Raw genomic sequence first — 25,954 nt, forward strand, 5'->3', positions numbered from 1 at the left:
TGAGCAACAGACATGAAGAGGAAATTGGCACCCTAAGGTGGTACAATTTGCTTGACAGCAGAGTTGATGGGAGGAGTCAGAGCTCATGATACGATAAGCGTGAGATTAACCTTCATGGAGAAGTCAGGGACTAGAGGATGAATTGGATGGGGCAGAGGGAAAGGAGGGAGGACGCAATGTGGGACAAGGGTGAAACACACTGGGGAGAATGCAATTGGGATTGAAAGGCAGAAGACTGGCAGAGCCAGAGGCCGTGGACCAGCTGCTGGTGGTCTGGGCCCCACAGAGCTGCAGCCCTTTTGGAACTCTTCAGAAACAGTGAATGCATAGCGCTGAAAGGAGGCCAGAGGATGAAATGGAAGTCTCAAGAAGGCAGGTTTAAGTCAGACACCACCAAAAATGAAAAACACCCCAAAACACACAGGTAAAGGCAGTTATCTTATGATCAAAGATTTGGGCACCATGACCAGCTCTCTGACATCTGGGCCCTGGGTATTGGGTATTGGCAGGGAGTAAAGGGGGAAAGTAGGAAACTTCATACCAGGCTCAGGATGAGCCAGCCTGTGCCTATAATTTCACAGCATTTGTCCATCCAGCTGTTACTGCAAAAACATGCGATAGAGCATCCTAGAGGCCCAGAACCCTGTTTTGGAAGAGCACAGGAGGACGGTTTGGGGGAGGCCATGCCTCCTAGGGAGTCATTAGGGAGGCATATCTTTTTCTTTCTTTCTTTCTCTTTGAGGCAGGCTCTTTCTCTGTCGCCCAGGGTGGAGTGCAGTGGCACGATCTTGGGTCACTGCAACCTCTGCCCCCAGGTTCAAGCGATTCTCCTGACTCAGCCTCCTGAGTAGCCGGGATTACAGATGTGCACCACCATGCTCGGCTACTTTTTGTATTTTTAGTAGAGATGGAGTTTCACCATGTTGGCCAGGCTGGTCTCGAACTCCTGGCCTCATGTGGTCTACTCACCTCAGCCTCCCACAGTGCTGAGATTACAGGTATGAGCCACTGTGCCCGGCTAGGGAGGCATATCTCTAAACTGGTAATTCTTGAGATGAGAGGTCCTGAATATCTGTCAGAATCATACACAGCCCCCAGCCCCCACTGACAAGGGTCCCAGATGTCTCCTTCCATAAGAGTCACTCTGCTAGTGAGATGCTGGCACTGTATCCCAAAGGTTGGGAACCTCTGTTCAAACTTCTTTAGACATATTTTAATTTAATTTAATGTGTTATTTTTTTTAGATAGGGTCTCGCTCTGTCGCTCACTCTGGAGGGCAACGGTGGGATCATGACCCACTGCAGCCTTGAGCTCCTGGGCTCAAGCGATCCTCCTGCCTTGGCCTCTCAAAGTGCTGGGATTACAGGCATGAGCCACTGTGCCTGGCCTAGACATATTTTAAATCCACGTCACCCCTCAGCATGATAATTTCTATAGGTTTACCAGAAGACTCTCTTTGTTATAAAAGACTACCTTTGGGCCGGGTATGGTGGCTCATGCCTGTAATCCCAGCACTTTGGGAGGCCAAGGCAGGCGGATCACCTGAGGTCAGGAGTTCAAGACCAGCCTAATCGACATGGAGAAACCCTGTCTCTACTAAAAATACAAAATTAGCCGGGTGTGGTGGTGCATGCCTGTAGTCCCAGCTGCTCGGGAGGCTGAGGCAGGAGAATTGCTTGAAGCTGGGAGGTGGAGGTTGTGGTGAGCCAAGATCGTGCCATTGCACTCCAGCCTGGGCAACAAGAGTGAAACTCCGTCTCAAAAAAAAAAAAAAAAAAAAAAAGACTACCTTTGATGTCTCCCATTCAAGATTCAAGTTCTGTATCTAGTATTAGAGGTGTAAGCCAGTGTTGACTATCTGGGTGTCCCCATACCTTTCATTCTGATGGTGTCAATATCCTTTAACTGAAAAATAGCTTCAGACCCATCCTACATATAGTGTCAAAGCCAGTGCCCCTGCCCCACACTTCAAGGATTTGGGGATGAGAAGTGGTTCTTTATTTATTTATTTATTTTTTGAGATGGAGTTTTGCTCTGTCGCCCAGGCTGGAGTGGAGTGGCGTGATCTCAGCTCACTGCAACATACGTCGCCTGGGTTCAAGCAATTCTCTCACCTCAGTCTCCCAAGTAGCTGGGACTACAGGAGCGCGCCACCACGCCTGGCTAATTTTTGTGTGTGTATATGTATATATATATATACACACACACACATATATATATTTTTGAGAAGGAATTTCACTGTTGCCCAGGCTGAAGTCCAATGGTGCAATCTCAGCTCACTGTAACCTCCATCTCCTGGGTTCAAGTGATTCTCCTGTCTCAGCCTCCCGAGTAGCTGGGATTACAGGAGCTAGTTTTTTGTTTTTTTTTTTTTTTTTTTGAGATGGAGTCTCACTCTGTCACCTAGGCTGGAGTGCAGTGGCACAGTCTCGGCTCACTGCAAGCTCCGCCTCCTGGGTTCATGCCATTCTCCTGCCTCAGGCTTTTGAGTAGCTGGGACTACAGGCACCTGCCACCACGCCCAGCTAATTTTTTTTTTTTTTTTTTTTGTATTTTTAGTAGAGACAGGGTTTCACTGTGTTAGCCAGGATGGTCTCGATCTCCTGACCTCGTGATCTGCCCGACTCAGCTTCCCAAAGTGCTGGGATTACAGGCGTGAGCCACTGCGCTTGGCGACTGCCTTTAGTTTTTAAAGAAGCATTTCTTTCTTTACACTGCCCCTATGATAGCGATACAGACATTTAGCCTGTCAGTAGAAGCTCTCTCTGCTCTATTGCCTACTACCCAAACTTGCCTAGCTGTGTTCAGCCCTTCCTCCCTCCCTCCCTTCCGTCCTTCCTTCATTCCTTCCTTTCTCTTTCTTTCTCTCTTTTCTTTTTCTTTCCTTCTTTTCTTTTTCCTTCATTTATTTCTTCTTTTCTTTCTTTCTTTCTTTTTCTTTCTTTCTTTCTCTATAGGGTTTTGCTCTATCTATCTATCTATCTATCTATCTATCTATCTATCTATCATCTATAGGGTTTTGCTCTGTCAACCAGGCTGGAGGGCTGCAGTGGTGCAATCATAGCTCACTGCAGCCTTGACCTTCCAGGCCCAATCAACCCTCCCACCTCAGCCTCCCAAGTAGCTGGGAGCACAGATGTGTGCCACTATGCCTGGCAAATTTTTAAATTTTATGTAGAGATGAGGTCTCCCTATGTTGCCCAGACTGGCCTCAAACTCCTGGGCTCAAGGGATCCTCCTACGTCAGCCTCCCAAGGTGCTGAGATTACAGGCTTGTCTCTTGACCACTTCCAAGCCATGCCCTGTTTTTTCCACTTTTGTTCTCCAGGGGTCCTGGGCCAGGGGAGCTGTGTCCAAGTCCTGGTCTCTCAAGCCCCAGCTCTGGTTCCACTTTGTCCCTGAAGACTGCTTCACCACTCTAGGTCACACGCTCCCCTGACTTCCCACAGGGGTTTTAGAAGTATCTCCAAGTCCAAGAAACTGTGCAGCTGAGAAAGACACAAAGACAGGACGGGAGGCACTCCTTGCCCTCTGGGACTTTCCATTCGGTTTGGGTATACAGAGAGCCATCATTCTTTCACTAGTCAGTGTGCTTCCAGTTGCAATCAACAGAAGCTGACTGGCCAACCAGGAAGAAAAGGGAACATTCTGGAAGGAACCTGGAATCATTCACAGACTCAAAGGTAACTGATGAAGAACCACTCTTGGATACTGACAAAAATGTGTCTCTCATTTCTGCTCCTTTCACTGTATTGGGATCATTCTTTCAAACCAACTTATTCTAAAAAAAATGGAGGATGGTCGGGCATGGTGGCTCATGCCTGTAATCCTAGCACTTTGGGAGGCCGAGGTAGGTGGATCACTCGAGGTCAGGAATTTGAGACCCGCGTAGCTAACATGGTGAAGCCCCATCTCTACTAAAAATACAAAAATTAGCCGGGCGTGCTGGCGCATGCCTGTAGTCCCAGCTACTCGGGAGGCTGAGTCACGAGAATCACTTGAACCCGCGAGACAGAGGTTGCAGTGAGCCGAGATTGCACTACTGCATTCCAACCTGGTGACAGAGTGAGGCTCCCGTCCCAGAAAACTTTATAAAGAAAAAAAATGGAGGACAAGATTATTCCTGACTCATATAGTTATAATTCACCAGAGAGGAAATTAGCTTTTTCCCTCAGCTCAGTTAGAAGAAACCCAGGGGAAAGCTTGGACTGGTCCAGCTCAGGACACATCCACCCTGGCTTAATGACTGTGCTATGACTGGGCCCATAGGTGGGCTGGCTTAATGACTGTGCTATGACTGGGCCCATAGGTGGGCTGGCTTAATGACTGTGCTATGACTGGGCCCATAGGTGGGCTGGCTTAATGACTGTGCTATGACTGGGCCCATAGGGTGGGCTGGCTTAATGACTGTGCTATGACTGGGCCCATATGATTGGGCTGGCTTGAGCCAGGTGCTCACCCTTCAAACGGTTACTGAGACCAGGCTGGAGTTGGTATGCAAGAAGATGGCAACACACATTTGAATTACATGGGTACAGCTTAGGGAGGCACGATGCCTAGAGGACGAAAGGAGCCATGTTAGGCTGCAGAAGTTCGTGGGTGCACACCACAGACACATAAACAGCCGGGAGGCACCTTGAGCCAATGCGTGTTGATTCCAGGATTCTCACTGACCTGCAGTCTAGCAGGGCATGATCTCCAGAGGATTGTTAGTGTGAGGGAAGGAATACAAAAGACATTGTTCGGCCAGGCCCGGTGGCTCACGCCTGTAATCCCAGCACTTTGGGAGGCCCAGGCGTTTGGATCACTTGAGGCCAGGAGTTCATGGCCAGCCTGGCCAACATGGTGAAACCCCGTCTCTACTAAAAAATACAAAAATTAGCCATGCGTGGTGGCGCATGCCTGTAATCCCAGCTACTTGGGAGGCTGGGGCAGGAGAAATGCTTGAACCCAGGAGGCGGAGGTTGCAGTGAGCTGAGATTGCGCCACTGCATTCCAGCCCGGGCGACAGAGCGAGACCCTGTCTCAAAAAAAAAAAAAAAAGAAAAAAAGAAATGGTTCATGCCATCTAGGGACTTGCAAGATAGTAATGGCAGTGAGACAGAAAGAGTCTTAACGAGTGGAATAAAGCCATGGATTATAAACTTTTTTGAGAAAAAAACAGGCATACATATATGTACTTATATAGGCTAATATGTATGCTATAAATCATACACATGATACAAATTTAAAGGATAAGATAATTTTTGTGTGTGTGAAACAGGGCTTTATTCTGTCACTCAGGCTGGAATGCAGTGACGTGATCACAGCTCACTGCAACCTCGACCTCCTGGGCTCAAGTGATCCTCCTACCTCAGCCTCCCGAGTAGCTGGGACTGCAGGCGTGTGCCACCATGCCTAGCTATTTTTTTTTTTTTTTTTGTAGAGATGGAGTCCCATTATGTTGCCCAGGCTGGTCTCCAACTCCTGGCTTCAAGCAATCCTCCCACCTCAGCCTTCCAAAGTGCTGGGATTACAGGCATGAGCCACTGCACCTGGCCAAGATAAATATTATTAAAACATTATTTTAACAATGTATATTATTTGTTTGTTCAAAGAATACTTTTTTCTTTCACTAAAAATGAGGGTCTGGGGTGAGATGATGTCTAAGGTCATTTTCAGCTCTGCATGTTGCATTCATATTCTACAAATGTAGAGATGCCAGGCTACAAGTACTAAATGTCTATTTTCTTGATTCTTGGAATACCAATGCTACTAATGGGAATAACTGTGAACTTCATTTAAAAGTTTTTTAAGCCGGGTGTGGTGGCTCATGCCTGTAATCCCAGCACTTTGGGAAGCTGAGGCGGGCGGATCACGAAGTCAGGAAATTGAGACCATCCTGGCTAACACAGTGAAACCCTGTCTCTACTAAAAATACAAAAAAAAAAAAAAAAAAAAAAAATTAGCTGGGCGTGGTGGCGGGTGCCTGTAGTCCCAGTTACTCAAAAGGCTGAGGCAGGAGAATGGCGTGAACCTGGGAGGTGGAGCTTGCAGTGAGCGGAGATCACGACACTGCACTCCAGCCTGGGTGACAGAGAGAGACTCTGTCTCAAAAAAAAAGAGGAAAAAAAAAGTTTTTTAAAACGGACTGGGCGCAGTGGCTCATACCTGTAATCCCAGCACTTTGGGAGGCCGAGGCGGGTGGATCACTTGAGGTCAGGAGTTCGAGACCAGCCTGGCCAACATGATGAAACCCCCTCTCTACTAAAAATACAAAAGTTAGCTTGGCGTGGTGGCACACACCTGTAATGCCGGCTACTTGGGAGGCTGAGGCAGGAGAATCGCTTGGACCTGGGAGGCGGAGGTTGCAGTGAGCCAAGATTTCTCCACTGCACTCCAGCCTCGGCAAGAGAGCGAGATTCTGTCTCAAAACAAAAAACAAAAAACAACAACAATTTTTTTTGAGATGGAGTCTCGCTCTGTGGCTTAGGCTGGAGTGCAGTGGTGCAATCTCGCTCACTGCAAGCTCTGCCTCCCAGGTTCACACCATTCTCCTGCCTCAGCCTCTGGAGTAGCTGGGACTACAGGCGCCCGCCACCACACCTGGCTAATTTTTTGTATTTTTAGTGGAGACAGGGTTTCACCATGTTAGCCAGGATGGTCTCGATCTCCTGACCTTGTGATCCGCCTGCCTTGGCCTCCCAAAGTGCTGGGATTACAGGCGTAAGCCACCACACCCGGCCAACAACGTTTTTTAAAACAGCATATGTCAAGATTTGAATGTCAGTTGGAAAAAACAAATGGGTAGTTTCTAAGAGACACAACAAAGCCACATTTATCCTGCTGAACTCATTGCAATACAAGGCTTGGACCTTGCAAAAGTAAAGCAGAGAGAAGAAATTGCCTGTTATCAAGTGCTTGCTGTATGCCGGGCACTTGGCTACATAAGCACTTTACATAAATTCTTTCTTTTAGTTCCATCAGCAACCTTAGGATGAGGTGTTCACATTCTCAGTGGAAGACAAGGACACTAGGGCAGAGTGAGCATGAGCCACAGCACTTAGTAAATGAAGGATCTGGGACTAAACAACAATAATGATCATGAGTACTTCTTGAGCTCTTCCTCTGTGCCAGGTACTGTTCTAAGCACTTGACTTGAATTCACTCATTTAATTCACACAACTCTATGAGCTAAGTACTGTTATCTATTCACCAATAATCATGAGGAAACAAGTACTAAGAAGTTAAAGACCTGACCAAGTTTCACATCTAGTAAGTGGCTGTGATGGTGAATACTGAATCAACTTGATCGCATTGAAGGATGTAAAGTATTGATCCTGGGTGTGTCTGTGAGGGTGTTGCCAAAGGAGATTAACATTTGAGTCAGTAGGCTGGGAAAGGCAGACCCACCCTCAATCTGGTGGGCACAATCTAATCAGCTGCCAGCACAGCTAGAATATAAAGTAGGCAGAAAAATGTGAAAAGACTAGACTGGCCTAGCCTCCCAGCCTACTTCTTTCTCCCATGCTGGACCCTTCCCACCCTCGAACATCAACGAACATCAGACTCTAGGTTCTTCAGTTTTGGGACGCAGACTGGCTCTCCTTGCTCCTCAGCTTCCAGATAGCCTATTGTGGAGCCTTGTGAGCATGTGAGTTAATACTTAATAAACTCCCCTTTATATAACATTATATATATATCCTATTAGTCTGTCTAGAGAAACCTAATATACTGGCAGTGCTGGGCTAGGGACCCAGACGGTCTCACTCCCCAGCCCCACTTAGCAAATCACTGTGCCACACTGTCTTCATCAGCCCGGGGGACTGCAGGCGCCACACCATCTCCACCAGCCCACGTGATTGCAACCCTGGTGCCTGGTGCTGCCTCCTTTGCAGGCTGGAAATTTGATCTGAACCTTTTTCCAGACTTCCAGGCTCAGAGTCTGGGATGCTGAAACATGCTCATTTTCAAGAGACTGAGGTATACATGTGCATCAGCTTCACCTGCATGTTGCCTCCCAGAAGCTACCTGGCAACATGCAACGTCAGAAGGTTGCCTTGTGAGTATAGAAATAGAATAGAGGGAATGAGTTCTACGACCGAACTGTTTAATGACCTCAGCATCCTATGTCCTGATATTGTGCCTGTGGAGGATAACATTTTTATTTTATTTTTAAAGACAAGATCTTGGTCTGTTGCCTACGCTGGAGTGCAGTGGTGCGATCGTGATTCACTGCAGCCTTGAACTACTGGGTTCAAATGATTCTTCCACCTCAACCTCTTGAGTAGCTGAGACTACAGGTGTGCACCACTACTCCTGGCTCATTTTAATTTTAATTTTAATTTTGTAGAGACAGGGTCTGCCTATTTGCTCAGGTTGGTCTCAAACTCCAGTGATCCTCCTGCCTTGCCCTCCCAAAGTGCTAGGATTACAGGCATGAGCCACCTCACCCATGACACATTTTTTTTTTTTTCTGTATCTGACACCAAGAGTTTGTTGGTCTGAGAGATTAGGTCAGACCCTCTGGACAGGATCTCCCTGACTGACCGGTTTCTTCAGCCTGGCCCATTCTTTCTCTAGATTTATTAATGATTCAGTGACGTGCCCGTTGATCTAGTTGCCCTGGAAATAATGCCTCTGTTTGAGATGACATTTCATATCCTTACACTCTGATTCACCATTCAATCATTTACAAATATGAACACTTCTGTGTACAACAAATGGAGGATACAGTAGACAGACATTTCAGTGGAAGAGATACAGATAATTAATATGTAAATGAGTGAAAAAGAGAGATTACTTCAGATGGTGATAAATGGTATGAAAAATTTCCAGCAGGGTAACGAGATTGAGTATTGAGATGGAGGATGGTGTGGGGCTGTAGAAAGGGGGGACTGGGGATATCTCTCTGAGGATGTAGAATCTGAACTGAGCCCTGCATGTGAGGAAGGAGCCAGTCATGATCTTAAAAGTTTCGTTCTCCGCCGGGTGGGGTGGCTCACACCTGTAATCCCGGCGCTTTGGGAGGCTGAGGTGGGCGGATCACCTGAGGTCGGGAGTTTGAGACCAGCCTGACCAACATGGGGAAACCCCGTCTCTACTAAAAATACAAAATTAGCCAGGCGTGGTGGCACATGCCTGTAATCCCAGCTACTAGGGAGGCTGAGGCAGAAGAATCGCTTGAGCCCGGGAGGTGGAGGTTGCAGTGAGCCGAGATTGCGCCATTGCACTCCAGCCTGGGCAACAAGAGCGAAACTCCATCTCAAAAAAAAAAAGTTTCGTTCTCAGAGGAAACACTTCACGCCTATCCTGTGAAGTGGAAGTTCATTGCTTGTCTCCAGAGAGACAATGGTATAAATTAGGCAGCTATGGTTGCCGTAGTGTTGCTGGTATTGGGGATTAAGTACATGGCGATTAAATGGTCATGTGGCCGTGCTTTCCAACAAAAATTCCAGACACATCGTCTTACATGTAGCATGAGGACTGGAAATATTTGAAATCAGGGTTGTCTTGGACTTTCCAAGGCACATGATTACCATAATTAACAGGCTACAGAGGGCTGGCCTGGGCCTGACCCCACGCTCCACACTGTTGATATGGAAACTGTTCCCAGTTTCTAAAAAGCCAAATAACAGGTGAACTTTTGGAATAAAATCACTTGCCTTTTGGAACCATATTTCTTTTCCCCAACAACATTACATGTTCTTTCCTCAGCAAAAAGTCTGAGTTGTACACATTTTTGAATCCCTCAAAGCATTTAGCAGAGTGCTGGGCATACGGAAGACAGCAGGATCCCGTGGCTTTGCCTGAAACGCGGAACCTGGTCTTGACTTTTGAGTGACTGAGCCCTCCTGGTGCCCGCACTCTGGCCGGGAGTGCCAAGCAGCGTTCTCCCTCCCGCCGCACGGGGGCACAATGGGAAGCCTGCACAGTGAGGAAGAGCGGCTGGAGCCGGTCTTGTGCCGGGGAGGTCGCTGCTCCCAGAATGCACCTGGCATCAACACGGCGGCGGCGGCGGCGGCTTCCAACAGGCTCTGGGGCGCCGAGCGGACAGGAACGCAGCACGGGGGCTCCGAGGCGGGGTCTGGGTGTTGAGGGGCGACTGGAGCCATGGCGGAGTCGGCGCCTGCTCGGGTAAAGAGGCACCGGCGCGCTGGCTCGAGGGCGCGTTGGGGATGGCGGAGTCCCCTGCCGGGGGCGGGGCTTCGCGGTTTGGACGCCGCCGGGGTCTTGGTTTCCCGGGGCTGCCGTTGGCGCGGGTGAACGCGGACCCTCCTCTTCGCGACCCCAGTGCTCTGCCCTTTTTTCCCTCCGCTTCCTTCTGCAGCGGGGTCGGAGCCTCGGCGCCGTGCGCCCTTGCCCAGAAACTTCTCTGACGCTTGCTTTAGGTTGGTGGATTTGTGACCCTGCCCACACATTTTCTCTTTCGTGCCAAAAGAGCCCGTTCCCAGGTTGGAGTGTTTCCAGATTGGAAACGGTCTCCGTCGCTACGAGTGAGCTCTCCCGCTGCCCGGGAGACCCCAGGACTTGCCTCTCTGCGACCACCTCCTCTTCGGTCCGATGTGTTGTCGGTTTTTCCAGTGCTGCAGATTTCTGTCTGGGGGTTGCAGCCACAGGTTGAAGTCAGCCTGGGCTGCTTCTCCTTGGGGACGGATGTTATCTACAGTGCAGTTGCTGCATTTTGTTTGTAGAGCTGCCCAAACTCTCTCCTTCACCCCCCCCCCAACACCCCCCTCCCAGCCCACCGACCATCCCCATTCTGGGAATGTCAAGATACGGAGTTTGGTGTGAGGAAAATCCTATTTGTGGAGTCACGAAGCTTTCAGCTGTCCATTTGGGTGATTTTAGGCAACTGTGTTCGCTTCTCTGGGTCTCTTTCGTTTTCTTAACTGTAAATCGAGAGTGTTGGAGTAGTTGCTAGATGATCTCCAAGGCTTTAAGTTTCCTTCCAGCTCCGACATTCTCATACTGTTCCCATACTGTTTCAAAGTAGTGGTTAATTTAACAACACCAGAGGGTTTGCAACGGAAGGGGCAGCTGGAATTGAATTGACTTTTAATGAAGTGTTCCTTGGTCTAGAAACACTTCGAGAATCATGTTAGATCTTTGTGAGAATGGAGGGCTAAGGAAATTCTGTGGGGAAAATTTGACCATGAGCAGGGTGCGCTATATTTGATTCTTGTAGAAAGTGCGTTAAGAACTAAGAACGGAGAGATTGGGAGACTTAGAGAACACAGTATTTGCTTTCAAGGAAGTTAACAGTTGAATTGGGAAGACAAGACACAAATGTTTACAATATTAACCTCATCTGACTCCTATAAGCTAGGCTGAGCCAGTCAAAGACTTGGCTTTTCCACAAGATCTAGTTAGTGTTAGAGTCCGGCGAGAGGATTCTGCCACAGTTCTTCCTGCCAGGTCACTCCACAATTACCTACATGTCGTCAGTAGACCTTGTTAGGAAGAAGCCTTAAAGGTCCACCACAGGCCAGGCGCAGTGGCTCATGCCTGTAATCCCAGCACTTTAGGAGGCCGAGGAGGGCGGATCACGAGGTCAGGAGTTCAAGACTAGTCTGGCCAATGTGGTGAAACCCGGTCTCTACTAAAAATACAAAAATTAGCCGGGCGTGGTGGCGGGTGCCTGTAGACCCAGCTACTCGGGAGGCTGAGGCAGAATAATCGCTTGAACCTGGGAGGTGGAGGTTGCAGTGAGCTGAGATCGTGCTATTGCACTCCAGCCTGGGTGACAGAGCAAGACTCTGTCTCAAAAAAAAAAAAAAAAAAAAAGTCCACCACAATCCCAAACTATGCCTTAAATAACATGAATCTGTCGTTGTAGAACTTATTCAAATTGTTCTTGAGCCTGTTTCTCTTCTCAGACATTTCAGGTGTCTGTCATTTAACAGTAAGCTCAAGTAGGTGCCCTGATGAAACAACTGAAAATGCTGGAAAACCCTGCACATAAATGCATTTGAAATGTATTTTAGTAAAGAATACTTGGAGCCCCAAAACTTAAGCGAAAGAGGAAACTCGAAAGTGATAGAGTTCTGAAGCCAACTTTGAGGGCATTGGCCAAACATTCATCTTTGGTGTTTATGATTCAAGGGACCTGCAAAATGGAACACACATCTCAGAGCCTAAGATGGAAAGTCTAAGAAGCTCCCTAACCCAATCCCATGAAGCAGAGAGTTCAAAGGGTAACATTCTGTGTAAGGGTGAACTGAAAGTAAGGTCTGACCTTCAGATGATTGCAAAGTAAGTTGTTAAACCTTGGCACTGAGATTACAGGCGTGAGCCACCGTGCCTGGCCATAGTTTCGTTTCTTTTCTTTCTTTTCTTCTTTTTCTTTTCTTTTCTTTTTTTTTTTTTTTTTTTGAGAGAGTCTCGCTCTCTTGCTCTGGCTGGAGTGCAGTGGAGCAATCTTGGCTGCCTGAAACCTCTGCCTCCCAGGTTCTAAGCGATTCTCCTGCCTCAGCCTCCGGAGTAGCTGGGATTACAGGCATGCGTCACCATGCCTGGCTAATTTTGTATTTTTAGTAGAGATGGGGTTTCACCGTGTTGGCTGGGCTGGTCTCTGAACTCCTGACCTCAGGTGATCCACCTGCCTCGGCCTCCCAAAGTGCTGGGATTACCACTGCATGAGCCACCGCACCCGGCCTAAGGCAGAGGGAATTCTTAAAAGCAACCAAAAAAAAAAAAGACTACCTTGAAATGAAGTACAGCAAAATGAATGGGGGCCAGCTTCTCAACAGCAACCATGGAAGCTAGGCAAAAGTAGAATGATATTGTCAATAGGCTGAAAGAAAGTAACTGTGGTCCCATAGTTTTATATGCAGCAAAAATGTTTCAGAAACAAAGATGTAAAGAAGACATTTTTAGACAAATTAAAAATGACAGTTTGCTACCAATACACTCTTAGAAAAGGAAATTCTAAAAGATATACCTCAGGTAAAATGAAAATTTTCCCAAATAGAAAGTCTGAAAATATGAGAAGATGTGATGATGCATGGAAATGGTTAAATCTAAACAAATAGTGACTTAATAAAACGTAACAATTTCTTGTTGTGTTAAAAACAATTAAAATACATGATGGCATTGATGTAAATATGAGGAAGAGATGATCAGAACTAAAGTGTTTAAAGGGCTTTGTTAAAGGGCCTTCTATGTATGTTTCCCATAATTTCTAGGATACTTGCTAAACAACTCGAAATTGGTCGTATAACTTACAGATCAGAAAGGGGGATAATGGAATAAGAAAAAATTAATGTAAAAGAAGACAAGAAAGTAGAGAAGAAAGATGGGATAAATAGCACAAAAAAGGTAAAAATAAATCAAAGCTAATGAACAATTACAATAAATGTAAATGAATGAAATGTTCAAGTTAAAAGGCATAGATTGTCAGGATGGGGGAAAAATCCAACTAGATGGTTTAAAAGAGTTACAACCGGCTGGGCGTGGTGGCTCACGCCTGTAATCCCAGCACTTTGGGAGGCAAAGTTGGGTGGATCATGAGGTCAGGAAATTGAGACCATCCTGGCTAACACAGTGAAATTCCGTCTCTACTAGAAATACAAAAAATTAGCCAGATGTGATGGTGGGTGCCTGTAGTCCCAGCTTCTTGGGAGGCTGAGGCAGGAGACTGGCGTGAACCCAGGAGGCGGAGGTTGCTGAGGCAGGAAAATCACTTGAACCTGGGAGGCAAAGGTTGCAGTGAGCCAAGATTGCGCCACTGCACTCCAGCCTGGGTGACAGAGTGAGACTCCGTCTCAAAAAAAAAAAAAAAAAAAAAAAAAAGAGAGAGAGAGAGAGATACAACTAAAAGATAAGGATATAGAAACAGTTGAATATAAAAGGTCATGAAAAAATATGCCAAGCAAATACTAATGAAAATAAAGTTGACAAATATATTTAGTATCTTTAGAGATAGAAGGCTCCTACTACTTTTGTAATGGTAAAAGACTCAATTTACCAGCTAGATACAAAATTTCTAAACCTGTATGCACCTAATTACATAGCCTAAAAATATATAAAACAAAACTGACAGAATTGCGAGAAAGATTCACTGTTATAATAGGAGATTTTAATACAACCTTAGTATTTTATCAAATAGAAAAGACTTATAAGGGTGTAGTGCATCCAGTAGAACTTCCCAAGATGATAGAAATGTTCTGCTCTGCACTGTTTAATACAGTGGCCACTAGGCACATGTGGCTTTTGAGCACTTGAAATGTTAGCTAGTATGATTGAGGAACTGAGTTTTAAATTTTATTTATTTATTTTGAGACAGACTCTCACTCTGTCACCCAGGCTGGAGTAGAGTGGTGCAATCTTGGCTCACTGCAACCTTGCAACCTCTGCCTCCCAGTTTCAAGTGATTCTTCTGCCTCAGCCTCCTGAGTATCTGGGATTACAGTCATGTGCCACCACACCCGGCTAATTTTGTATTTTTAGTAGAGACAGGGTTTCATCATGTTGGTCAGGCTGGTCTTGAACTCCTGACCTCAAGTGATCCGGCTGTCTTGGCCTCCCAAAGGGTTGGGGTTACAGGCACGAGCCACTGTGCCCGGCTAATTTTATTTAACCAGCCACATGTGACTAGTGGATATTATATTGGAAGCACAGGTACAGAAATGATTATTTTTATTTTTATTTTTATTTTTTTTCTGAGACAGAGTCTCTCTCTGTTGCCCAGACTGGAGTGCAGTGGTGCGATCTCGGCTCACTGCAAGCTCCGCCTCCCGGGTTCATGCCATTCTCCTGCCTCAGCCTCCCCAGTGGCTGGGACTGCAGGAGCCCGTCACCACGCCCGGCTAATTCTTTTGTATTTTTAGTAGAGATGGGGTTTCACCATGTTAGCCAGGATGGTCGCGATCTCCTGACCTCATGATCCGCCCACCTTGGCCTCCCAAAGGGCTGGAATTATGGGCGTGAGCCACTGCACCTGGCCAGAAATGATTTTTTTAATCCATATATCTATCAGTATATAATATCAAAGTGTAGAGACAAAATGAAAACAAAAGAGAGGAGGCAAAAATAAAAACCTATTGGGAATGAAAATGTGTGCATTCCCATGTCTATTGGTTGATGCTGGTGTGTAGACTGAGATTGTAGGTAAGGCCGTTGAACAGAACACTTCATGCACCCTCTTCATGTGGCTTGGGATTTCTCAAGGGATTCTAGCACCTGGCTGCCTGTGATTTGCCCCACTTGACAGAGAGTGGAGCAGAGACGAACCATCCATGTGCCACCCTCCTTTAACTGCAGATTCACATGCAAAGTAGATGATGATGTCTTAAGCCACTAAATTTGGGGATTATTTGTCATACAGGAGTTGATGGTTGGAATAGATACCTAGGGAAAATGTTAAAACATTGAAAGATATTAAAAATGGAGTCTCAAAAGGCTGGGCATGGTGGCTCATGCCTATAATCCTAGCACTTTGGGAGGCTGAGGCAGGTGGATCATTTGAGGTCAGGAGTTTGAGACCCGCCTGGGCAACATGGTGAAACCCTGTCCCTACTAAAAATACAGAAAAATTAACCAGGAGTGGTGGCACACACCTGTAATCCCAGCTACTTGGGAGGCTGAGGCAGGAGAATCACTTGAACCTGAGACAGAGGTTGCAGTAAGCTGAGATCATGCCACTGCACTCCAGCCTGCAGCCTGGGCGACAGAGCGAGAGACTCCATCTCAGAAAAAAAAAAAAAAAAAGGATTTGCATACTATGTTTATGAATTGAAATTCATCCTAAATGTGTCACTTTTCTGTTGGGTGGGGTGACTCATGCCTGTAATACCAGGACGTATAATCGTGCCACTGCCCTCCAGCCTGGGTGACAGAGTGAGACCGTGTCTTTATTTATTTGAGACAGAATCTCTCTCTGTCACTGGAGGGAAGTGGTGTGATCATGGCTTCCTGCAGCCTCAATCCCCTGGGCTCAAGTGATCTTCCCACCTCAGCTTCCTGAGTGGCTGGAACTATAGGCACCTGTCATCATGCCTGGCTAATTTTATTGTCTTTTTGTAGAGATGGGATTTCACCATCTTGCCCTGGCTGTTCTTGAACTCCTGGGCTCAAGCTGTCCTCCCGCCTCAAGCCTCCCGAAGTGCTGGGATTACAGACTCGAGCCACTGTGCCCAGCCATAGATTCCCCAAGTGGGATTGCTAGGTAAAAGGGTTTTTAATGACTTGAAATTTTTCTTCCCCTAAGAGTGTGTAGTATTTTTCATTCCTTCCAGGAGTGTTATGAGAGTCAGTTTACCACATTATAGTCAGCTCTGAATGTTATTCTTTGTGTCTGTTTCATGTTTGTCAGTCTGATGGGTGAACGTGCTTTCACTTAGTTATATTTGGATTCCTGATTGTAAGGTGGTTGTGTTTTCATTTGTTTATTGACTGCCTGCATTTCCGCTTCCATGAATGATTTACAATCTGCAGTTTTATTTTGGGGTTCTTGACCTTTTTCCACTTCATATTCTGTTTACAAATATTCTCTCCTTGTTTTTAGACTTTGTTTATGTTATCTTTTATTACAGCTAGCATTTTCTCCTACTTTGACATTCTAAGACGTGTTTATTGAGATACCATTTACATACAGTAAAATTTACTCTTTAGGCAGATAGTTCAACAAATTTTGACAAATGTGTAGCCAGCATATTACCAAGATAGAGAATATTTCCATCATCCAAGAAAGTTCCCTCATATCCCTTTATAATCAGTCTTTTTTTTTTTTTTTGAGACGGAGTCTTATTCTGTTGCCCAGGCTGGAGTGCAGTGACGTGATCTCAGCTCACTGCAGGCTCCGCCTGCTGGGTTCACACCATTCTCTCGCCTCAACCTCCCAAGTAGCTGGGACTACAGGCACCTGCCACCACACCTGGCTAATTTTGTTTTTGTATTTTTAGTAGAGATGGGGTTTCACCATGTTAGCCAGGATGGTCTTGATCTCCTGACCTCATGATCAATCCGCCCTCCTCGGCCTCCCAAAGTGCTGGGGTTATAGGTGTGAGCCACTGTGCCTGGCCTATAATCAATATTTTTCTCCTATCCCTAGCCCTTGGCAACCACTGATCTGATTTCTGTCCCTATAGTTTGCTTTTTTCCAAACATGTAAATGAAACACAAATGTAGCCTTTTGTGTCTGAATTCTTTTTTTTTTTTTTTTTTTTTGGAGTTTTGCTCTTGTTGCCCAGGCTGGAGTACAATGGTGTGATCTCGGTTCACCGCAACCTCCGCCTCTCAGGTTTAAGTGATTCTCCTGCCTCAGCCTCCCGAGTAGCTGGTATTACAGGCATGCGCCACCATGCCCGGCTCATTTTGTATTTTTAGTAGAGATGGGGTTTCTCCATGTTGGTCAGGCTGGTCTCGAACTCCCAACCTCAGGTGATCCGCCCGCCTCGGCCTCCCAAAGTGCTGGGATTTTAGGTGTGAGCCACCATGCCCGGCCCTTCTTTTTTTTTTTTTTAAGTGGTCTTACTTTGTCACTCAGGCTGGAGTGCAGTAGTGTGATCATGGTTCACTGCAACCTTGAACTCCAGGGCTCAAGTGATCCTCCCATCCTCAGCCTCCCAAGTAGCTGGGACTATAGGCACATGCCACCACGTCTGGCTCATTTTAAAAAAATTGTGGAGGTGGGGGTCTTGCTTTGTTGCCCAGGCTGATCTTGAACTCCTGGGCTCAAGTGATCCATCTTAGCCTCCCAAAGTGTTGGGATTATAGGTATGAGCCACCGTGCCTGACCTTTGTCTGATTCCCGTCACTTAGCATGTTGTTAAACATGTCAGTGATTTTGGTTCCTTTTTATTACATAGTAGTAGACTTAGTAGTCGAAGTAGTAGTCTACTACTAAGTAGCAGGCTTAGTAGTCTTCTAAGCTATATAGGAAAAATACACTAAATATATAATACGGTATATAATGAAGTGTCTTATATAGTGTGTCTGTTTCCTAGGGCTGGTGTAACAAACTGGGAAGCTTAAATAACAGAAATTCTGTCTCACAGTTCTGGAGGTTAGGAGTCTGAAATCAAGATGTTTGCAGGGTTGGTTCCTTATGAGTTTTGTGTTTCTCTCCTAGCTTCTGGTGGTCCCATGTGTTTTCTTGGTTTGTGGCAGCATAAGTCCAGTCTCTGCCTTAATCTTGACATGGCCCATTATGTATTGGTGTAACAGAATACATGAGGCTGGGTAATTCATGAAGAAAAGAGGTTTAGTTGGCTCACAATTCTGGTGGCTGGAAAGTTCAAGATTGGGCAGCTGTGTCTAGTGAGGGCTTCAAGCTGCTTAAACTCATGGCAGAAAATGGAAGGGCAGCAGGTGTGTGTAGAGATCACATGGTGACAGAGGAGGCAAGAGAGAGACCAAAGAAGTCAGACTGTTTCACAACCCACTGTAGTGGGAACTAATCCATTCCTGCCAATGACAGCTCACCCCTGTGGGAGCGCATTAATTTATTTATGAGGGATATGCCCTCATGACCCAAACACCTCCCACGAGACTTCACCTCCCGACACTGCCACATTGGAAATACAATTTCAACATGGGTTTTGGTGAGGACAAACCATAGTAGACATCTTCTCCCTGTGTGTGTGTGTGTCTGCGTCTAAAGGTCCTCTGTTTTAAGGACATCAGTCATTGGATTAAGGCCCATCCTAATGACCTCATTTTAACCTGATTACCCTTGGAAGTACCTTATTTCCAAGTAAGATCACATCCTGAGGTACTGAGGATTAGGGTTTTACTGTATTATTTTGAGGAGACACAATTCAACCCATAACACTGGATGGATCACAATTTTTTCATCCATTGACTGGTTCGTGAACATTTGAATTGTTCCCATCATGCTAGATAATTCAAAACAGAAGACAAGAAGAAACTAGCTTAATCATTCTTTTCAACCTCTTACTATGTGGAAGAGGAGGGGGCTTATTCCTTTGCACAGATTCTCACCTACATTCCTGTCTAGAAAAAGTGCTACTGAGCACAGAATGCTGGGCCACAGAAAGAGGAGACTCACAGACTTAAAGTAGAAGCAAAACAAACATGATGGCATGCATATATCCAGTTTAATATTTTGTTTTGTTTCGCTTGTATTTGTCTTTTACATTGAACTTTTCTTTTAATCTCTTGCAGGAGGATGTATTTAAGCTTTTGTCTCATGTGTTCCATGATGAATTAACTGACTTGAGTAACTAGAGTAGGTCATGGCCAAACTTAAATGTTCAGTTCTGCACCAGTCAGTTTCCTTTTGTCCCATGTTCTCTGGACCACAACCCTTGGCCCCAGCAGTTCTTTCCGAGATATTTCCTCTAGTGTCTCGGTCTTGGTGGCCTCACTGTGGTTAGAGAAGCAGCCTTGAATAAAGTGTGTGCTTTATTCAAATAAAGTGAAGTTTGCAGAGGGGGTTAGGACTGAAGTGAACGTGCAGGGAGACAGTAGGGGGACAGCTTGGGGAAGACTTCCCCAGTGTTGGTTTCAGTAATTTTAGCTTCTATGACAGTGATTTTCCTACTGTCAGAGACAGCTCATTAAAGTGAAAATTATAAGGAAAATGTCAGTAGACTTAGTCACATCATTTCAGTAAATATTTTTTAAGGATTTATTCACCATCCCAGCTGCTAGAGTGCAAAGATGAATGAATTAGGTCTTGTAGGTCCTGCTAAGGAATTTTGTCTTTATTGTGGGGAGCCATTGAAAGTTTTCAAACGGGTGACATGATCAACTATGAAGTCTGGCAGGGATGTGGAAGCAAGATAAGATGTAAGTGACATCTTTTATCATATAGTCCAAAACATTAAATAAAAATAGGTTTAAAAATGAACACTGATACAGGAGTCTCAGAGAATATGCTAAGCATAAAGCATAGGTAACAGAACATACACGCTATAATTTCACTTTTGTTGAAAAAAAATAAACTAAAAGATGAAAAAAAACTTTAGAAATACACCAAAATTCAAACAGCTTCTTTCTTTCTTTTTCTTTTTTGAGACAGGGTCTCACTCTGTTACTCAGGCTGGAGTGCACTGGCACGATCTTGGCTCACTGTAGCCTCAACCTCCTGGGCTCAAACCGTCCTCCCACCTCAGTGCCCCAAGTACCTGGGACTACAGGCATGCATCACCATGCCTGGCTAATTTTTTGAACTTTTTTGTAGAGACAGGGTTTGCCTTGTTGGCCAGGCTGGTGTCAAACTCCTGAGCTAAAGTGATTCAGCTGCCTTGGCCTCCCAAAGTGCTGGGATTACAGTTGTGAGCCACCACGGCCAGCCCTAACAGCTTATTGTGTGTGAGAAGATTTTGTGTAATATTTTCTTTCTATTCTTCATCATTTTCCAACATTATTAATACAATATCTATGTATAATTTTTAGTATCAATAAAAGACATGCTTTTTTTTAATTAAAAGAAACTAGATAACTCTGAGCACTGATACACTTGAACACTGCTTTCTTTACTTGATGTTTGGAAGTGACATTGACCCTGTGTCTTTAATCCATCAGCACAGGAGAAAACGACGCTCCACACCTTTAACTTCTTCCACACTTCCTTCACAAGCAACAGAGAAAAGCTCCTATTTTCAGACCACCGAGATTTCACTCTGGACGGTGGTGGCCGCTATTCAGGCTGTGGAGAAGAAGATGGAGTCCCAGGCTGCCCGGCTACAGAGCCTGGAGGGGCGCACGGGGACAGCCGAGAAGAAGCTGGCTGACTGCGAGAAGATGGCCGTGGAGTTCGGGAACCAGCTGGAGGGCAAGTGGGCCGTGCTGGGGACCCTGCTGCAGGAGTATGGGCTACTGCAGAGGCGGCTGGAGAACGTGGAGAACCTGCTGCGCAACAGGAACTTCTGGATCCTGCGGCTGCCCCCGGGCAGCAAGGGGGAGGCCCCCAAGGTAGTCTCATTGAGGATTAAAAGTTAGAAGAGAAGGGGGAGCCAGCCCTTTAATATGTAAGCACCTCAGTTGCTGGCTTTTCTGTCATAGCTGTGAGTAGAAGCACTCATGGTGTGCCATTGGTGATTCCAGGTGTCCAGGTCACTGGAGAATGATGGCGTCTGTTTCACCGAGCAGGAATGGGAGAATCTGGAGGATTGGCAGAAGGAGCTCTACAGAAACGTGATGGAGAGTAACTATGAGACACTGGTCTCTCTGAGTGAGTAGCAGTTTTCTCCCTAGAATTCTGTCTCAGACATACTACAATTCCTGGCTGGCAGCCTGTAATTCAGACCACACCTGTGGCTCCTGTGGCTGTGGGTCCTCTGTCGGCCTGCACGGGCAGAGAAATGCCAGTCTCTAGGTCCTCCCATTTACAGACCTGCACGGGTGGAGAAATGCCAGTCTCTAGGTCCTCCCATTTACAGAGACTTTTGGAAAGCTCGCAGCATTGTGCCTTTTGTGTTTTTTTTTTTTTTTTCCTGTGGTCACATAGTCTGTTCTTGATAGTATTTTCTAATAAATAAAATGTCATATACCCTATAGTGTGATATGGCTAGGGTTCCTCATGTTGTTTTTTAATTTATTTTATCTTTTTTTTTTCTTTTTTTCTTTGAGACAGAGTCTTGCTCTATTGCCCAGGCTGGAGTGCAGTGGCACAATCTTGGCTCACTGCAACCTCTGCCTCACAGGTTCAAGCGATTCTCCTGCCTCAGCCTCTCGAGTAGCTGAAATTACAGGTGACTGCCACCACGCCCAGCTAATTTTTGTATTTTTAGTAGAAATGGGGTTTCACCATGTTGGCCAAGCTGGTCTTGAACTCCTGACCTCGTGATCTGCCCACCTCAGCCCCCCAAAGTGCTAGGATTACAGGTGTGAGCCACTGCGTCTGGCCTGTTTTATCTTTTTTTTTTTTTTTTTTTTTTTTGAGACTCTGTCACCTAGGCTGGAGTGCAGTGGTACGATCTCGGCTCACTGCAGCCTTGACAGCTTGGGCTCAAATGATTCTCCCACCTCAGTTTTCCGAGTAGCTGGGATTACAGGCACATGCCACTGCGCCTGGCTAATTTTTTAAATTTTTTGTAGAGACGTGGGTCTTACTGTGTTGCCCAGGCTGGTCTTGAACTTCTGGGCTCAAGTGATCCACCCACGTCGGCCTCCCAAAGTGCAGGGATTACAGGCGTGAGCCTCCGCACCTGGCCTCTCATGCTGTTTTTAATATTTAAGACTATTTGAGATGGGTGTGGTAGCTCACATCTGTAATCCCAACACTTTGGGAGGCCAAGGTGGGAGGATAGCTTGAGGCTAGGAGTTCGAAATCAGCCTGGTCGACATAGTGAGATCTCTGTTGCTTAAAAAAAAAAAAAAAAAAAAAAGATGATTTGATAACCCTATGTTACCTTGGATGAGGCAGGCAGCACAGGCTGATCAAAAGCATTTTCTTGGTGTTTGGCCGGAATTATAGCTGGTCATTGTGGTCTCAGTGATTTTTTCTTGTTGATTAGGAGTGCTGCTTAATAGATATAAGTCTTTATATGCAAAATGTTACCTATTACATAATAAATGTGTTTTGTTTGGTAGACAAAGTCTTTTAAAACCTAGGTACATGGAGGAGTGTCAAGTGCCTGGAGCAGAGTAGGAGGTAAAGGAAATAGAAAATGGGCCAGAAAAGTGACCTTGTAAGCTTGGTTGGGTCACATGCTCTCATTGTGACTGTTTCCTTGTCTGTCCCAGTGCCCATCTTACCTTGCAGTGCCTTAGCAAGGATGAAATTAGATCCCCTGAAAGGAAGCATTGGCAAGACTTAAGCTGCACGCACATGGAGAGGCAGAGGTGGGTGGTGGTGCCATCAAGGGCAGTGGTAGCTCTGTAGCCTGCCTGCCTGAGCCACAGCCCCTCTAATGGAGGAGCACTGGAGGCAGCAGCTAGCCAAGTCAGTTGTTATGATTGGCCAGAATTTTATAATTGTCCCAAACTGCTAGGGGAAACTGACAAGAACAGTAGCCTTTGAATCTATATTTCCTCCCTGCCATTGGTCATCTTGGTCACTGGCAGCTGATCAGTGTGCAGTGAGCTTTCACTCTCTCCTGGGCTCACACTGTGCTGTTTCCCACCCAGAGGTCCTTGGCCAGACAGAGGGAGAAGCGGAGTTGGGTACAGAGATGCTGGGTGACTTGGAAGAGGAAGGTCCTGGTGGTGCCCACCCAGGTGAGTGGCTCTGGAATATTCTGTTCCCCTTCCATAGCCCTCTGTAGCCTAGAGTGAGCTTTCCCACGGCTGAAGTGCCAGGTGCTGACTTGGTGACCTCATCTGGCATCTGCTTGTTCTGGACTCCTTTATGATTGTCGTTAGTTCAGCTGTTACATATGCCTCAACTCCTACCACCCTGTGGGGTCTTTAAGACTAACGGCCACATCAATCATTATTCTTCATGCCCTACAGAATAGAGTACCGTACGAGGCGGTAGTCAAAACCTGCTGGAGATTGAGCGTAGGTATGTCAGAGCTTCAGGAGGGAAGGCAGTGCAGGAAAAGCACTTGTCAGTAGGTAATTTGGGAGGTTATGGAGGAAGAACAGAGCTGGACATGAATTCTTAAGCTGTAGGTTTAGTTTGTCTTTAATCATTCAAATTTGTTATTTTAACACTCTTAATTGAGTATAGTTGTTACAGTGTATTCTGTCATTTTTCACAGGGATTAAATATAAATTTGTAGACAAGCTTGGAGAACTATCATTTACAGTATTGTTTTATAAGAGTAATACATTTATATTTCCAATCAACATTGGAAAAACTGTACATGAATATAGTTTTATAGAAGTCTTGGAACCTAGCCAGTGTCATCCTCCTCCACGTTATCCTAATTCACTTATTCCTGGGGTGCTTCTGAAATTCACAGATGTTTGTTTGGTCCTGAAGAAACCAAAGGTACTAGAATGTGATCTTTTTTGTTGGTCTTCTTCCACTTTGCAGCAGGTGGGGTCATGATCAAACAGGAGCTACAGTATACACAGGAAGGCCCTGCGGATCTTCCTGGAGAGTTCTCATGCATTGCTGAAGAGCAGGCTTTCCTGAGCCCAGAGCAGACCGAACTCTGGGGTGGTCAGGGCAGTTCTGTCCTCTTGGAAACAGGTCCTGGGGACTCTACTCTAGAGGAGCCTGTTGGTAGTAGAGTTCCTAGCAGCAGCAGAACTGTGGGCTGCCCGAAGCAGAAATCTCATAGGCAGGTACAGCTGGACCAGGAATGTGGGCAGGGCCTGAAGCTGAAAAAGGACACTTCCCGCCCCTACGAATGTTCTGAGTGTGAGATCACCTTCCGCTATAAGCAGCAGCTGGCCACACATCTGCGCAGCCACTCTGGGTGGGGGTCTTGTACACCTGAGGAGCCAGAGGAGAGCCTTAGGCCCAGGCCACGGCTGAAACCACAGACCAAAAAGGCCAAGCTGCATCAGTGTGATGTGTGCCTGAGGAGCTTCAGCTGCAAGGTGAGCCTGGTGACCCATCAGCGTTGCCACCTGCAGGAGGGGCCCAGTGCCGGCCAGCATGTCCAAGAGAGGTTCTCACCCAACAGCCTGGTTGCCCTGCCTGGCCACATCCCTTGGAGGAAAAGCCGGAGTTCCCTCATCTGTGGTTACTGTGGCAAGAGCTTCAGTCACCCATCTGACTTGGTGCGGCACCAGCGCATCCACACGGGTGAGCGGCCCTACAGCTGCACTGAGTGTGAGAAGAGCTTTGTCCAGAAGCAGCACCTCCTGCAGCACCAGAAGATCCACCAGCGGGAGCGGGGTGGGCTGGCCCTGGAGCCCGGAAGGCCCAATGGCCTGCTTTAAGGGTGCAGCCCCTCGCCCGTCTGGGGGATGGAGGGGGGTGGCATTGGTTCCCCCGAAGAGACACTGCAGTCAGGGACTGAGTTCTTCCTGAGGGCAGTTGTTTGTGATTGCCTTCCCTTGTCCCAGTACCAAGCCAAGCCCAAAGGCTGTCCTGAAAACCCTGTGGAAGAAGAGTCCAGGCCAGGTCTTCATCCTGCTGCCAAGTTTGCTGTTTCTTGGCACCTTCAGGTCTCTGGTTTTCTCATTCATGCCAATGCTTGTGGGCTGGGGTTGGCGTTCTGACCCCACAGGGACTGGTGGCTGGTTCCAGGGCTCGTCCCGGCATTTCATGTCTTCCCACGGGGTTGAGTCGGGCCATAGGGGTGAGCAGCTGCCTGGAAGAGTTCTGGGAAGTATAACCCTCCATTTTTTCTTGTTTTATAATCTCTTTGTTTAATAATAAGTAGAAGAAATAATTTAAATGAACTGCTTAGCCCTGCTCTGAAGAACCTTTTTTGGAATTAGATTTTAGTTGATTTTTTAAAGAATACAGCCCAACACTTGTTTTTTACATTTTAAGAGTTGTAGAAGTTGTTCCTAACTTGGGGACTGGACCTACCCTCTAGGAGGGAGTTGTTAATGGGGCTCTTTTAGCCCACTGATGCTTACTTAGGCCGGAGAGCAGGGGACACGGTGCTAGGTTCCCTCGTGCAGTGCCTGGTGCTCTCAAATTGTCTCAAAAGGACCAAGAGGAAAAGAGTCGGAGGGGTAGACCCTGCAGCCCTGTTGAGAAGAAAGATTCCAGTGAAGTTGCTGATGGTATGGCTGTGGTCTGGGACTTGCGGTGTCTCGGCATACCCCTCTCCTCTTCCCACCTCCTCCTGGCTATGTTCTGCAGCCTCCCAGAGTAGAAAACTACTTTGTTACTTAAGGTTGTTCACCTTGTACCAGTGGTTATTTGAGTTTGTTCCTATTACACCAATCCTTACTTGAGGTGGTTCGGATTACAGTTTCCAAATGCATTCTGGGATTGCCTATTCCAGAGAGGGTACAGAAAAAGCACACAGATGGCTTGTCTCAGGAGTGTTGAATGTGTGCCCCGCTGCTGTCTGGGGGGATGGGAGTGGGCTCTGGGGTCATATGTGAACATCCCCTTGGATGATTTGCGGTTGCTTAGAATAAAACTTGCTACTAGCAAAAGAAAAAAAAAAAGTTCATACTGGATGTTTTTCTCCGTTTGTCAAGA

The 25,954-nt window shown here is 46.4% G+C and overlaps 1 protein-coding gene across 1 annotated transcript, besides 2 other annotated features; it reads left to right on the plus strand.

Moving 5' to 3' along the window:
* Positions 3,517-4,716: an enhancer, noted in NCBI's record as "P300/CBP strongly-dependent group 1 enhancer chr7:148930294-148931493 (GRCh37/hg19 assembly coordinates)". NCBI's record gives its function as "activates an origin of replication core promoter dependent on BRD2, BRD4, P300/CBP, MED14 and CDK7 cofactors, with strong dependence on P300/CBP, by STARR-seq in HCT116 cells {active_cell/tissue: HCT116}" and the evidence as "EXISTENCE:reporter gene assay evidence [ECO:0000049][PMID:35650434]".
* Positions 9,732-10,026: an enhancer, noted in NCBI's record as "tiled region #80; HepG2 Activating DNase unmatched - State 1:Tss, and K562 Activating DNase unmatched - State 1:Tss". NCBI's record gives its function as "activates a minimal TATA promoter and a strong SV40 promoter by Sharpr-MPRA in HepG2 and K562 cells {active_cell/tissue: HepG2 | K562}" and the evidence as "EXISTENCE:reporter gene assay evidence [ECO:0000049][PMID:27701403]".
* On the plus strand, positions 9,965-25,920 carry ZNF212 (zinc finger protein 212). The gene is made up of 5 exons (NM_012256.4): positions 9,965-10,116; positions 20,473-20,862; positions 20,995-21,121; positions 23,020-23,109; positions 23,873-25,920. Exons 1-5 carry the CDS (start codon positions 10,093-10,095, stop codon positions 24,727-24,729), a joined length of 1,488 nt encoding a protein of 495 aa, NP_036388.2. The 5' UTR covers positions 9,965-10,092; the 3' UTR covers positions 24,730-25,920.
* The last annotated feature ends 34 nt before the right edge of the window (positions 25,921-25,954 follow it).

Source organism: Homo sapiens, chromosome 7 (assembly GCF_000001405.40).
Source record: "Homo sapiens chromosome 7, GRCh38.p14 Primary Assembly".
Lineage (NCBI taxonomy): Eukaryota > Metazoa > Chordata > Mammalia > Primates > Hominidae > Homo > Homo sapiens.